We start from the raw sequence: 15,667 nt of genomic DNA on the forward strand, positions 1-15,667 counted from the left end.
ATGGAATGGAATTGAATAGAACGGAATGGAATGGAATGGGATCCAATGGAATAGAATTGAATAGAATGGAATCAATCGGAGTGGAATCGAATACAATGGAATGGAATGCAGAGACTGGAATGGAATGGACTCGAATGGATTGTAATTGAATGGAATGGATTCTAATGGATAGGAATGGAATCGAAAGGAATGGAATCAAATGGAATAGATTGGGATGGAATGGAATGCAATGGAATGGGATGGAATGGAATGGAATGGACTCAAACGTAAAGAACTAGAGTGGAAAAGACTCAAATGCAATGTACTCAAATAGAATTGACTCAAATGGAATGGAATCGAATGGAATGGAATCGACTGGAATGGAAAGGAATGGAAGGAACTGGAATGGAATGGAATCGAATCAAATCAAATGTAATGGAATGTACGAGTATGGAAAGGACTGGAATCGAATCAATATAAAAGGAATGGACTTGAATGGAACGGATTTGAATGGAATGGACTCGAATGGAATAGATTCAAAAGGAATGGTCTCGAATGTAATGCTATTGAGTGGAATGGAATTAAATGGGAAGGAATTGAAAGGAATGGAATCGTACGGAATGGAATCGAATGGAATGGAATGAAATAGAATGTATTACACTGGAATGGAATGGAATGGACTGCAATGGAATGGAATCGAATGGAATGTACTCGAAGTGAATGGAATGGAATCAACAGGAATGGAATGGAACGGAATGAAATAGAATGAAATGGAATGGACTCAAATGGAATGGACTCGAATGGAATGAACTCGAAAGAAATGGACACGATTGGAATGGATTTGAATGGAATGCAATCGAACAGAAAGCAATCGAATGGAATGGAATTGAATGGGATGGAATCGAATGGAATGGAATCAACTGGAATGGAGTCGTGTGAATTCCAATGGAATAGAATGGACTGGAATCGAATGGAGTGGAATGGAAAGATCTCGAAATTAATAGAATGGAGTGGATTGGAATGAAATAGAATCGAATGGAATGATCTGGAGTGGAATGGATTGGAATGGAATGTAGTCTAAAGAATGGACTCGAAAGGAATGCAATCAAATGGAATGGAATCGAATGGAATGGAATCGAATGGAATGGAATGGAATGAACTTGAATGGACTGGAATGAAATGGAGTCAAAAGAATGGACTCGAAAGGAATGCAATCAAATGGAATGGAATGAAATGGAATGGAATCGAATAGAATGGATTGGAATGGAATGGAATCGAATGGAATGGAATCGAATGAAATGGAATTTAATGGAATGGAATTGAATGGAATGGAAGCCAAAGGAAAGGAATCAAATGTCATGGAATGGAATGGAACGGTCTCGAAAGGAATGGAATCGTATGCAATCAAACCAATCAAAGGCAAAGCAATGGATTGGAATATAATGGAATGGAATGCAAAGGAATTGCATCGAATGGATTGGAATGCAATGGAATGGAATGGAAGGCAATGGAAACGAGTGGAGTGGAATCAAATGGAATGGAAGGGATTGGAATGGACTGGAATGGAATGGAATGGAATGCAATGGACTAGAATGTAATGGACTGGAATGGATTAGACTCAAATGGAATGGTATGTAATTGAATGGACACGAATGGAATGGAAATGAATGGAATGGAATAGAATGGACTGCAATCAAATTGAATAGAATGGAATCGAATAGAATGGAACCAAGTGAAATGCAATTTAATGGAATGGAATGGAATGGAATGGAATGGAATGGAATGGAACGGAATGGAGTGGAATGGAATTGAATATAATGCAATCGAAAGGAATGGAATAGAATGGAATGGAATCGAGTTCAATGGAATCCAATATACTGCAATGGAATTGAATGGAATAGAATGGAATGGAAGGGAATGGAATGGAATGGAATCAAAAGGAAGGGAACGAATGGAATGGAGTGGAATGGAATGGAATGGAATATAATGGAATGGAACGGAATGCAATGGAATGGAATTTAACCGAATGGAATGGAATAGAATGGGATTGACTGTAATGGAATGAATGGAATGGAATGCACTCGAATGTAAAGGAAGGGAATGGAAGGGAATGGAATGGAACAGACTCTAATATAATGGAAGAAAAGTGAATGGAATGGAATGCAATGGACTGTAATGGAAGGAATGGAATTGAATGGACTCGAACGTAATTGACTGAAATGGAATGGAATCGAATGGAATGAATTGAAATGGAATAGAATGGAAAGGACAAAAGTGGAATGGAAAGGAATGGACTGTAATGGAAGGAATGGAATGGAATGCACACGAATGTAACTGGAATGGAATGGAATCAAATGGAATGGACAGGAATGGAATTAAATGGAATGGAATGGAATGGATTGGAATGGAATGAAATGGAATGGAATGGAATGGAATAGAAAGGAATGGAATGGAATGGGATTGAATGGAATGGAATGGAATGGAATAGAAAAGAATGGAATGGAATGGGATTGAATGGAATGGAATGGAATAGACTGGAATGGAACGGAACGGAATGGAATGGAATTCAATTGAATGGAAAGGAATGGAGTGAACTGTAATGGAAGGAATGGAATGGAATGCACTCGAATGTCATTGACTGGAATGGAATGGACTCGTATGGAATGGACTGGAATTGAATGGAATGGAATGGACAGTAATGGAAGAAATTGAATGGAATGGACTCAAACGGAAAGGACTCAAACGGAGTGGACTCGAATTGAAAGGATGTGAATGGAATGGACTCGATTATTGTGGATTCGAATGCAATGGACTCGAATGGAATGCAATCAAAAGGAACAGATTCGAATGGAATGGAATAGAAAGGAATGGACACGAATGGAATGGAGTAGAATAGAATAGACTCAAATGGAATGGACTGGAATGGAATGGAATCAAATGGAATGGAATGGAATCGAATGGAACGGCATGGAATTGAATGTGATGGAATCGAATGGATTGAAATCAAATGGAATGGACTGGAATGGAATGGAATCGAATGGAAAGGACTCAAATGCAATGGACTCGAATGGAATGGAATCACATGGGATGGAATCGAATAGAATGGAATGCAGTGGAACGGAGTCAAAAGGAATGGACTCGAATGGAAGGAACTCGATAGGAATGGAATGGATTGGAATGGGATAGAATGTAATGGACTCTAATGTAATGAACTGGAATGAAATGGACTTCAGTGGAATGGACTCGAATGGAATGCAATGGAATGGAATGGACTCTGTTTGAATGGACATGAATGGAATGCAATCGAAAGGAATGAAATTGAAGTGTAAGGAATCAAATGGAATGGACAGGAGTGGAATGCACTGGAATGTAATGGACTCGAATGGAATGAACTGGAATGATATGGACTCCAATGGAATGGACTCGAAAGGAATTGAATAGAATGCAGTGAAATAGAATGCATTGGAATGGAATCGAATGGAATGGAGTCCAATACAGTGGAATCGAATGGAATGGAATCGAATGGAATGGAGTCGAAAGTAATGGACTGGAATGGAACGGTCTTGAATGGAATGGAATCAAATTGAATGGAACCTAATGTATCGGACTCGAAAGGAATGGACTGGAATGGAATGGAATCAAATGGAATTGACTCAAATGGAACGGAATTGAATGGAATGGAATCGAAAGGAAAGGAATGGAATGGAATTGAATCGAATCGAAAGGAATGGAGTGGAATGGAATAGAATTGAATTGAATGGAATGGAATGGAAACAAATGGAATGTAATCGAACAGAATGGAATGGAAAGGAATGCAATGGAATCGAAAGGAAAGAAATCAAATGGAATGGAATTGAATGGAATGGAGTCAAATGGAATGTATTCTAATGGAATGGAATCAAATGGCATGTGATGGAATGGAATGGAATCGAAAGGAATGGAATGGAATGCAATGCATTCAAATTGAAAGGGATCAAATGAAATGGAAAGAATGGAATTTAATCGAACTGAATGGAATAGAATGGTATCGAATGGATTCGAATGGCTTGTGGTGAAATGGATTGGAATGGGTTGGAATGGAATGGGTTGGAAATGAATTGAATGTAGTGTAGTGGAGTGGAGTGGATGGAGTATAAGGGAATGGAAAGGGAAAGAATGTAATTGAACAGACTGGATTGGAAAGGAGTGGAATATAATAGAATGGAATGTAACGGAATGGAATGGAATGCAATGGAATGGTATGGAGTGAAATGGATTTCTTGGAGTGAAATAAAATGGAATGAAGTTGGATGGAATGCAGTGAATTGGGGTAGACTGTAGTGGAATGGAATGGAATGCAGTGGAATGGAATGGACTCGAAAAGAAAGAACACGAATGGAATGGAATGGACACTAATGGAAAGGAAGGGAATAAAAAGGAATGGAGTGGAATGGAATAGAATGGAATGGAATGGAATTGAACAGAATGGAATCGAATGGAATGGAATCGAATAGAATGGAACAGAATGGAATGAAATGGAATGTATTTCAATAGAATAGACAGATATGGAATGGAATCAAAACAATGGGAATGGAATGGACTCGAATGAAACTGAATCAAAAGAAATCGAATGGAATGGAATAGAATAGAACAAAATGGACTCGAATGGAATGGACTGCAACGGAATCGAATCGAATGGAATGGACACGAATGGAATGGACTAGAATGCAATGGGTTTGAATGGATTGGAATCCAAAGGAATACCCTAGAACGTAATGTAATTGAATGGAATGGAATCGAATGGAATGGACTGGATTGGAATGGAAAGGATTCAAATGGAATCGATTCAATTGGAATGGATTCGAACGGAATGCAATCGAATGGAGTGGAATCAAATGGAATGGAATCGAATGGAATGGAATAGAATGGAATGGAATCCCATAGATTGGAATCAAATGGAAGGGAACGGAAGGGAATGGAATGGACTCAAATGTAATGGAAAGGAATGCAATCGAGTGGAATGGAATGGAATGGATTGGAATGGAATGGAATGGAAAGAATGGAATGTAACGGACACAAATGTAATGGACTGGCATGGAACAGACTCGAATGGAATGGATTGAAATGAAAAAGAATGGAATGAAATGGAATTGCATGGAATGGAATAGAAAGGAATGGAATAGAATAGACTCAAATGTAATGAACTGGAATGAAAAGGAATGGAATGGAACATACTCTAATAGAATGGAATAGAATGGAACTGAATGGAATGCAACGGAATGAAATGGAATGGAACGGAGTGGAATTGAATAAAATGGAATGGAATGGACTCGAATGGAATGGAATTGAATGGAATGGAATGTAACTGAATAGAACGACATTGAATGGAATGGAAAGGTACCGAATGGAAAGGAATGGGATGGAATGGGATGGAATGGAATGGAATGGAATGGAATGGAATGGAATGGAGTCGAATGGAATGGAATGGAATAAAATGGAGTGGCATGGAATGGAATAGAATGGAATGAAATGAAATGGAGTGGCATGGAATGGAATAGAATGGAATGGAATGAAATGGAGTGGAATGGAAGGAATGGAATCGAATAGAATGGAGTGTAATTGAATGGAATGGAAAGGAACGGAATCAAACAGAATGGAATGGAACGGAATGGACTGTAATGGAATTGCACGTAATCAAACCGAATGGAATGGAATGGAATGAACTCAATTGAAATGGATTCGAATGGAATGGACTCGAATGTAATGCAATCGAATGGAATGGAATCAAATGGAAAGGAATAGATTGGAATAGAATCGAACGGAATGGAATGCAATGGAATGGAATGGAATGGAATGGAATGGAATGGAGTGGAATAGAACGAAATGGAATGGAATGGAAAGGACCCAAATGCAATGGAATGGAATTCAATATAACGAAATAGAATGGAATGGAAATGACCCAAATGGAATGGAATTGAATGGAATGAAATTGAATGGAATAGAATGGAATGGAATGGAATGGAATGGAATGGAATGGAATGGAATGGAATGGAATGGATTGTAATAGAATCGCATAGATTGGAATGGAATGGAATGGACTGTATTGGAATGCATTCGAATGGAATGAACTCAAATGGAATGGAATGGAATAGAATGGAAGGAAATCAAATGGAATGGAGGCGAATGGAATGGACCCGAATGGAATGGAGTCGAAAGCAATGGACTGGAATGGAATGGAATCGAATGGAAGGGATTAGAATGGAAAAGAATTCAATGGAAGACAATAAAAAATACTGGGCTGGAATTGAACGTACTGGAATGGAATGGAATAGAATGGAAGGGAATCGAATGGAATTGAAAGGACTAGAGTGGAATGGATTCGAATGCAATGGACTCGAATGGAATGCAGTCAAATGGAATGGAATCTAATGGAATGCAGTCAAGTGCAATGGAACAGAATGGAATGGACTCGAATGGAATGGACTTGAACGCAATGGACTGGAATGGAATGGAATCTAACGGAAAGGAATCGAACGGAATGGAATTGAATTTAATGGAATGGAATCGAATGTAATTGAATGGAGGGGACAGGAAGTGAATGGTATCGAACGGTATAGAATGGAATGGAAGTCAATGGAATGCAATTGATTGGAATGGAATCAAATGGAAGGGAATTGAAAGGAATTGAATCAAATGGAATCGAATGGAATGGTAAGCAATGGAATGGAATGGAATGTACTCAAATGGAATGGACTGGAATTGAACGGTCTCAAATGGAATGAAATGGAATCCATTGAAATGGAATGGAATGCAATAGAATGGAATGGACTCCAACGGATTAGACTGGAAGGGAATGGACTCAAATGGACAGGAATCAAACGGAATGAAATAAAATGGAATGGAATGGAATGGAACAGAATCGAATGAAATGGAATTTAATGGAATGGAATAGAATGGACTGGAAAGGAATGGATTGGAATGGAATGGAATGGAATGGAATGGAATGGAATGGAAAGGAATGGAATTGAAAGGAATGGAATGGAATGGAATGGTATGAAATGGAACGGAATGCAATGGATTCAAACAGAATGGATCGGAATGAAATGAACTGGAATGGAATGGGCTGCAGTGGAATGGAATGGAATGGAATTGATTTAAACTGAATGGAATGATGTAGAACGGACTCAAACGGAATGGATTCGAATGGAATGGAATGGACTCGAAGGAAATGGACTGGAATGGAATGGATTCGAACAGAATGGATCGGAATTGAATAGAATGTAATGTAATCAAACGGAATGGAATGGAATGAATGGAATTGAATGAAATGGAATGGAATGGAATTGATTTGAACGGAATGGAATGGAGTTGAATGGACTCGAACGGAATGCATTTGAAAAGAATGGAATGGATTCGAAGGGAATGGACTGGAATGGAATGGATTCGAACAGAATGGATTGGAATTGAATCAAATGTAATGGAATCTAACAGAATGGAATGGAATGAACGGAATTCAATCGAAAGGAATGGAATGGATTCGAACGGAATGGAATGAAATGCAATCAAAAGGAATGGAATGAAATCGAATGAAATTGAATGGAGTGCAATCGAATGGAGTTGAATGGAATTGAATGAAAAGGATTCGAACGGAATGGAATGGAATAGAATGGCATGGAATGGAATAGAATTGCATGGAATGCAATGCTCTCTAATGGAATGGAATGAAATGGAATGGAACTGACCCTAATGTAATGGAATCTAAAGAATGGAATACAATGGAGTAGAATTGAATGGAATGGAATCTAATGGAATGGAATGGAATGGTATGGAATCAAATGGAATGGAATGGCATGGACAGGAACAGAATGTACTGGAATGGAATGGAATGGTATGGAATCAAATGGAATGGAATGGCATGGACAGGAACAGAATGTACTGGAATGGAATGGAATGGAATGGAATAATATGGAAAAGAATGGAATCGAATGGAATGGAATGGAATGGATTCGAATGAACTGGAATGGAATGGAATGGATTCGTATGGAATTTAATGAAATGGAATGGAATGGAATGGAATCTAACGGAATGCAATGGAGTGGCAAACAATCGAATGGAATGGAATGGAGTGGAATGAATGGAATGGAATGGCATGAAAAAGATTAGAATGAATGGACTGGAAAGGAATAGAATGGAATGGAACGAAATGTCCTCGAATGTAATCGAATGGAATTGAATGGACTCCAGTGGAATGGACTCAATTGGAAGGGACTAGAAAGGAATGAATTTGAATGGAATGGAATCGAATGTAATAGAATGAAATGGAATAGAATCGAATGGAATGGAATTGAATGGAATGGAATGAAATGGAATGTAATGGAATCAAATTGAATGCACTGGAATGGAAAGGACTTGACTGCAATGCACTCAAATGGAATGGAATCGAATGGAATGGGATCGAATGGAAAGGGATCAAAAGAAATGCAATCGAATGGAATGGAATCGAGCGGAACGGAACTGAATAGAAAGGAATGGAATGAAATGGACTCGAAAGGAATGGAATGGAGTGGAATGGTCTTCAATGGAATGGCATCGAATGGAATGCAGTTGAATGTAATGGAATCGAATGTAATGGAATCAAATGGAATGGAAAGGACTGGAACGGAAGGGCATGGACTGGAATATAATTGACTGGATTGGAATGGACACGAATGTAATTGAAACAAATGGAATGGAATCTCACGGAATGGAATCATATGTAATGGAGAAGAATGGAATTCACTGGAATGGAAAGGTTTCGAACGGAATGGAATCGAATGGAAAGGATTGGAAAGGAATGGAATAGAATGGAATGGAATGGAAAAGAATGGAATGCACTGGAATGGAAAGGTCTCGAATGGAATAGAATGGAAAAGAATGGAAGGCACTGGAAAGGAAAGGTCTCGAATGGAATGGAATGGAATGGAAAGGATTGGAATGGAATGGAATGGAATGGAATAGAAACGAATGGAATGGATTGGACTGGAATGGAAAGGACTAGATGGAATGGACTGCAACGGATTAGACTCAAAAGGAATGGACTCGAAAGAATGGCATCAAATGGAATGGAATGGAATGGAATTGACTGGAACGGAATGGAAATGACTCGAATAGAATTGAATCAAATGGAATGGACTGGAATGGAAAGGAATGGACTCGAATGGAATGGACTGGAATGGAATGGTCTCGAATGGAATGGAATCGAATGGAATGGACTTGAGTAGAATGGAATGGAATGGAACAGTCTCGAATTGAGTGGAATTGAGTGGAATGGAATCGAATGGAATGGAATAAAATGGAATGGAATGGAATAGAATGGAACAGAATCAAATGGAATGGAATGGAATGGAATGGAATTTACTCGAGTGTAATATAGTGGAATCGAAAGGACTCGAATGGAAGGGACTCAAACGCCATGGAATCGAATGGAATGGAATCGAATAGAATGGAATGCAATGAAATGGAATCGAATGGAATTTAATGGAATGGACTGGAATGGAATGTACTCGAATGGAATAGAATCAAATGGAATGGAAGAGAATGGAATGAAATTGATTCAAAAAGAATAGATTGGAATGGAATAAAATCGAATGGAATGGAATGGAACGGAATGGAATAGAATGGAATGGAATGGAAAGGAATAGAATGTAATGGATTGGAATGGACTCCAATGTAACGGACTGGAATAGAATGGACTCAAATGGAGTGGACTCTAATGGAATGGACTCTAGAGGAATGGAATGCAATAGAATGGAATGGAATGAAATGGAATGGAATGGACTGGAATGGAATGGACTCGAATAGAATGGACTTCATTGGAATGGACCCAAAGGGAATGCAATCGAACAGAATGGAATAGAATGGAATGGATTCGAATGGAATGGACTGGAATGGAATGTATTTGAATGGAATGTACTGGAATGGAATGGTCTTGAATGGAATAGAATCGGAAGGAATGCAATATAATGGAATTGAAAGGAATGCAATGGAATAGAATTGAAACAAAAGGAATGGAATCAAATGGAAACAAATGGAATGGAATGGAATGGAATCGAATGGAATGTAGTGGAATGGAATGGAATCGATTTGAATGGACTCGAATGAAATGGAATCAAATGCAATGGAATCGAGTAAAATGAGATCAAATGGAATGGGATGGAATGGAATGGAATAGAGTGGAACGGAGTCGAATGTAATGGAAGCGATCGGAAAGGAATCAAATGGCAACAAATGGAATCGAATGGATTCAGATGCAGCGGAGTGGAGAGGAATGCAGTGGAATTGAATTGGTTGGATTGGAATTGAATGTAGTGGAGTGGAGTGGAGTGGAGTGGAATGAAATGTATGGAATGAAATAAAATGGAATGGAATGAAATGGAATCGTATGAAATCGAAAGGAATTGAATTGAAAGGCATGGAATCAAACCGAATTGAATGGAATCGAATGTATTGGAATGTAATAGAATGGAATCGAATGGAATGGACTAAAAATGAATGCATCAGAATGGAAAGGTCTCGAATGGAATGGAACGGAATTGAATGAAATCGAAAGGAATGGCATCGAATGGAAAGGAATGGAATGGAATGGACTCAAATGCAATCTACTAAAATAGAAAGGACTCGAATGGAATGGAGTCGAATGGAGTGGAATCGAATGCAATGGAATCGAATGGAAGGGAATACAATGGATTTGAATGGAATGGAATGGAATGGAATGGAACGGACTTGAATGTAATTTACTCGAATGGAATGAAATCGAATGAAATGGAATCAAAACGAATGAAATAGAATGGAATATAATGGAATGGAATGGAATGGAATGGACTGAAATGGAATGGACTCGAACAGAATTGTCTTGAATGGAATGGTAACGAAGGGAAGGGAATAGAATGGATTGGAATGGTATGGAATGCAATCAAATGGAATGCATTCGAACGGAATGGAATGGAATAGAATGGAATTGAATGGAATGCAATGGACTCAAATGGAATGGAATGGAATGGGCTCAAATGGAAGGGAATCGAATGGAATCAAATCGAATGGAATGGATTTGAATGGAATCGAATGGAATGGAATGGACAGGAGCAGAATGGAATTGAATGGAAAGGAAATGTATGGAATGGAATGGAATGGATTGGAATGGAATGGACTCGAATGGAAAAGAATGGAATGGAATGGAAACGAATGGAATGGACTTTAATGGAATGCAGTCTAATGGAATGGACTGGAATGGAATGGACTCAAAAGGAATGGACTGGAATGGAATGGCTTGAATGGAATGGAATCGAATAGATCAGAATAAAATGGAATGGAATGGAATGGAATGGAATTGAATGGAATTGAATGCAATGGAATGGAATGGAACGGACTCGAATGGAAGGGAATCAAAAAAAATGGAATGGACAGGACTGGAATGGAATGGACCCGTAAGGAATGGACTGGAATGGAACGGCTCAAATGGAAGGGAATACAATGGAATTGAATTGACTGGAATGGAAAAGAGTCCACTCGAATGTAATGGACTGGAATGGAATGGACTCGAATGGAATGGGATCAAATGGAATGGCATTGAATGGAATTTAATTGAATTGAATGGATTGAAATGGTTCAATCTCGAATGGAATGGAATGGAATGGATTCGAATGGATTGGACACGACGGAATAAAATCGAAAGGAATGGAATGGAATAGAATAGAATGGAATGGACTTGAATATAATGGCCAGGAATTGAATTGACTCGAATGGAATGAAATCGAGTCAAATGGAATTGAAACGAATGAAATTTAGTGAAATATAATGGAATGGAATGGACTTGAATGGAACGGACTGCAATGGAATGGACTGAAATGGAATGGACTCGAATGGAATTGTCTTGAATGAAATTGTAACGAACGGAATGGAATAGAATGAATTGGAATGGTATGGAAAGCAACGGAATGGAATGGATTCGAATGGAATGGAATGGAATAGAATGTAATTGAATGGAATGAAATGGACTCGAATGTAATAGAATGGAATGGAATGGACTCGAATGGAATGGAATCAGATGGAATCAAATCGAATGGAACGGATTTGAATAGAATCAAAAGGAATAGAATGCAATGGAATGGACAGGAAGAGAATGAAATCGAATGGAATGGAATGGTATGGAATGGAATGGATTGGAATGGTATGGACTCGAATGGCATGGACTCGAATGGAATGGAATCCATTGGAATATACTCTAAAGGAATAAAATCGAATGGAATGGACAGGAATTCAATGGACTGAAAAGGAATGGACTTGAATGGAACGGTCTCGAATGGAAGAGAATCAAATGGAATAGAATTCAAAGGAATGGAATGGAATGGAATGGAATCGAATCGAATGGAATGGAATGGACTGGAATGGAACGGAATGGAGTGGAATAGAACGGAATGGACTCGAATGTAATGGACTGGAAACGCATGGACTCGAATGGAATGCAATCAAACGGAATGTAATTGAATGGAATGGAATATAATGGAATGAGAACAAATCAAATGAACACGAATGGAATGGACTGGAATGGAACTGTCTTGAATGGAATAGAATGGAATGGTATGGAATCGAATGGAATGGAATGGAATGGAGTGGAAGGGAAAGGAATGGAATAGAACGGAATCGACAAGAATGGAATGGACTGGAACGGAATGGAATGGAAGTGAAAGGAATGGACTCGAATGGAATGGACCCGAAAGGAAAGGAATCATATGGAATGGAATCGAATGGAATGGAATCAAATGGAATGGAATGGTTTCCAATGGAAAGGAACGGAATGAACTCGAAAGGAAGGGAATGGAATGGAATGGAACGGAAAGAACTGGAATGGAATGGCCTCGAAAGGAATGGAATGGAATGGTATGATCTCGAATGGAAAGGAAACGAATGGAATTGAATAGACTGGAATGGAAAGGAATGGAATCGAATGTAATGGACTGGAATGGAATGGACTCGAATGGAATGAAATCGAATGAATAGAATCGAATGGAATGGAATCGAATGGAATTGACACAAATTGAATGGATTAGAATGGAATGGCCTCAACTGGAGCATAATGTAACGGAATGGAATGGAACAGAATGGAATAGAATGCAATGGAACAGAATAGAACGGAATGGAATTGAAAGGAATGGATTGCAATGGAATGCACTCGATTGGAATGGGCACGAATGGAATGGTATCGAATGGAATGGAATCAAATGGAATGGATTGAATGGAATGGGATCGAATGAATTGGAATCGAATGTTATGGAATCGAATGGAATGGAATCTAATCGAATGAAATGGAATGGAATGGAATGGAATGCAATGGAATGGAATGGAATGGAATGCAATGCAATGGAATGCAATGGAATGGAATGGAATGCAATGGAATGGAATGGAATGGAATGGAATGGAATGGAATGGAATGGAATGGAATGCAATGGAATGGAATGGAATGGAATGGAATGGAATGCAATGGAATGGAATGGAATGCAATGGAATGGAATGGAATGGAATGGAATGGAATGGAATGGAATGGAATGCAATGGAATGGAATGGAATGCAATGGAATGGAATGGAATGGAATGCAATGGAATGGAATGGAATGGAATGCAATGGAATGGAATGGAATGGAATGGAATGGAATGGAATGGAATGGAATGGAATGCAATGGAATGGAATGGAATGCAATGGAATGGAATGGAATGGAATGGAATGCAATGGAATGGAATGGAATAGCCTCTAATGGAATGGAAGTGAGTCGAATGGAATGGAATGGAATGGAATGGAATGCACTGAAATGGAATTTAATGGAATGGAATTTAATGGAATAGAATGGAATGGAATCAACTAAAATGCAATGGAATGGAATGGAACGGAATTGAATGGAATGGAATGGAACCGAATGGAATAAAAGGGCATGCAATGGAATCAAAAGTAGTGTTATAGAATGGAATGGAATGAAATAGAATGGAATGGAATCAAAAGGAATAAAAGGGCATGCAATGGAATCAAAAGCAGAGAAATAGAATGGAATAGAATGGAATACAATGAAATAGAATGGAATGGAATGGAATGGATTCAAGTGGAATGGAATGAAATGGTTTGGATTCGAATTGAAGGGACTGGAATGGAATGTATTCGAATGGAATGGAATGGAACGGAATGGAATGAACTGGAGTGGACTCGAATGTAATGGACTGGAATGGAATGGACTCAAATAAATGGACTTGAATGGAATGGACTCGCATGGAATGGAATCGAATGAAATTTAATGGAATGGAATAGAATGGAATGGAATGTACTCGAATGTAATGGACTGGAACCGTACGTATGTAATGGAAAGGAATGGAATGGACTCGAATGAAATGGAATGGAATGGAATGAACTGGAATGGAATGGACTCGAATGGAATGGACTCCATTGGAATGGACCCGAAAGGAATGCAATCGAATGAAATGGAATCAAACGGAATGGATTCGAAAGGAATGGACTGGAATGGAATGGATTCGAATGGAATGTACTGGAATGGAACTGTCACAAATGTAATGGAATCGAAAGGAATGCAATGGAATGGAAGCAAATGGAATCGAATGGAATGGAATGGAATCGAATGGAATGTACTGGATTGCAATGGACTCGATTGGAATGGAATCGAATGCAATGGAATTGAATAAAATGGGATCGAATGGAATGGGATCAAATGGAAAGAAATCAAATGGAATGGAATCGAATGGAATGGAACGGAACATAATGAAATCAAATGGCATCGAATGGAATCGAGTGGATTGTGGTGAATGGAGTGCAGTAGAGTGGAATGGAATGTGTTGGAATGGAATTGAATGTAGTGGAGTGGAGTGGAGTGGAATGGAATGGAATGGAAAGGAATGGAATCGAATGGAATTGAATCGAATGGAATGGAATCAAATCATACTGAATGGAATTGAATGGAATGGAATCGATTCGATTGGAATGTAATAGAATGGAATCGAATGGAATGGACTCGAATTGAATGGATTGGAATGGAATGGTATCGAATGGAATGGAATGGAATGGAATCGAATGGAATGGAATTGAATGGAATGGAATCAAATGGAATTGAATGGAATGCAATGGAATAGAATGGAATGGAATGGACTCGAATGCAATGGAGCGGAATTGTATTGACTCGAATGTAATGGAATCAAATGGAATCGACTCGAACGGAATGCAATCGAATGGAATGGAATCGAATGGAAAGGAATCGATTGGAATGGACTAGAATGGAATGGACTCGAATGAAACGGACTCCAATTGAATGGACTCGAATGGAAAGCAATCGAATGGAATGGAATTGAATGGAATGGAATGGAGTCGAACTTAATGGAATCAAATTGAATGGACTCGAATGTAATGGACTGGAATGGAACCGTACGTATGTAATGGAAAGGAATGGAATCGATTGGAATGGACTAGAATGGAATTGACTCGAATGAAATGTACTCCAATGGAATAGACTCGAATGGAAGGCAATCGAATGGAATGTATTGGATTCGAATGGCATGTAATCAAAAGGAATGGAATGGAATGGAATCGAATGAAATGCAATGGAATAGAATGGTATGGAATTGAATAGAATGGAATGGAATAGGAATGGACTCGAATTTAAAGGAATGGAATGGTAAGGACT

General features: G+C 38.7%; 3 annotated features.

Moving 5' to 3' along the window:
* Window positions 5,203-5,715: an enhancer, noted in NCBI's record as "OCT4-NANOG hESC enhancer chr20:29821249-29821761 (GRCh37/hg19 assembly coordinates)". NCBI's record gives its function as "activates a minimal SCP1, AML or CMV promoter by ChIP-STARR-seq in naive H9 embryonic stem cells {active_cell/tissue: H9 hESC(naive)}" and the evidence as "EXISTENCE:reporter gene assay evidence [ECO:0000049][PMID:30033119]".
* Window positions 5,716-6,227: an enhancer, noted in NCBI's record as "OCT4-NANOG hESC enhancer chr20:29821762-29822273 (GRCh37/hg19 assembly coordinates)". NCBI's record gives its function as "activates a minimal SCP1, AML or CMV promoter by ChIP-STARR-seq in naive H9 embryonic stem cells {active_cell/tissue: H9 hESC(naive)}" and the evidence as "EXISTENCE:reporter gene assay evidence [ECO:0000049][PMID:30033119]".
* Window positions 14,756-15,329: an enhancer, noted in NCBI's record as "OCT4-NANOG hESC enhancer chr20:29830802-29831375 (GRCh37/hg19 assembly coordinates)". NCBI's record gives its function as "activates a minimal SCP1, AML or CMV promoter by ChIP-STARR-seq in primed H9 embryonic stem cells {active_cell/tissue: H9 hESC(primed)}" and the evidence as "EXISTENCE:reporter gene assay evidence [ECO:0000049][PMID:30033119]".

This window comes from Homo sapiens, chromosome 20 (genome assembly GCF_000001405.40).
Source record: "Homo sapiens chromosome 20, GRCh38.p14 Primary Assembly".
NCBI classification, from domain to species: domain Eukaryota; kingdom Metazoa; phylum Chordata; class Mammalia; order Primates; family Hominidae; genus Homo; species Homo sapiens.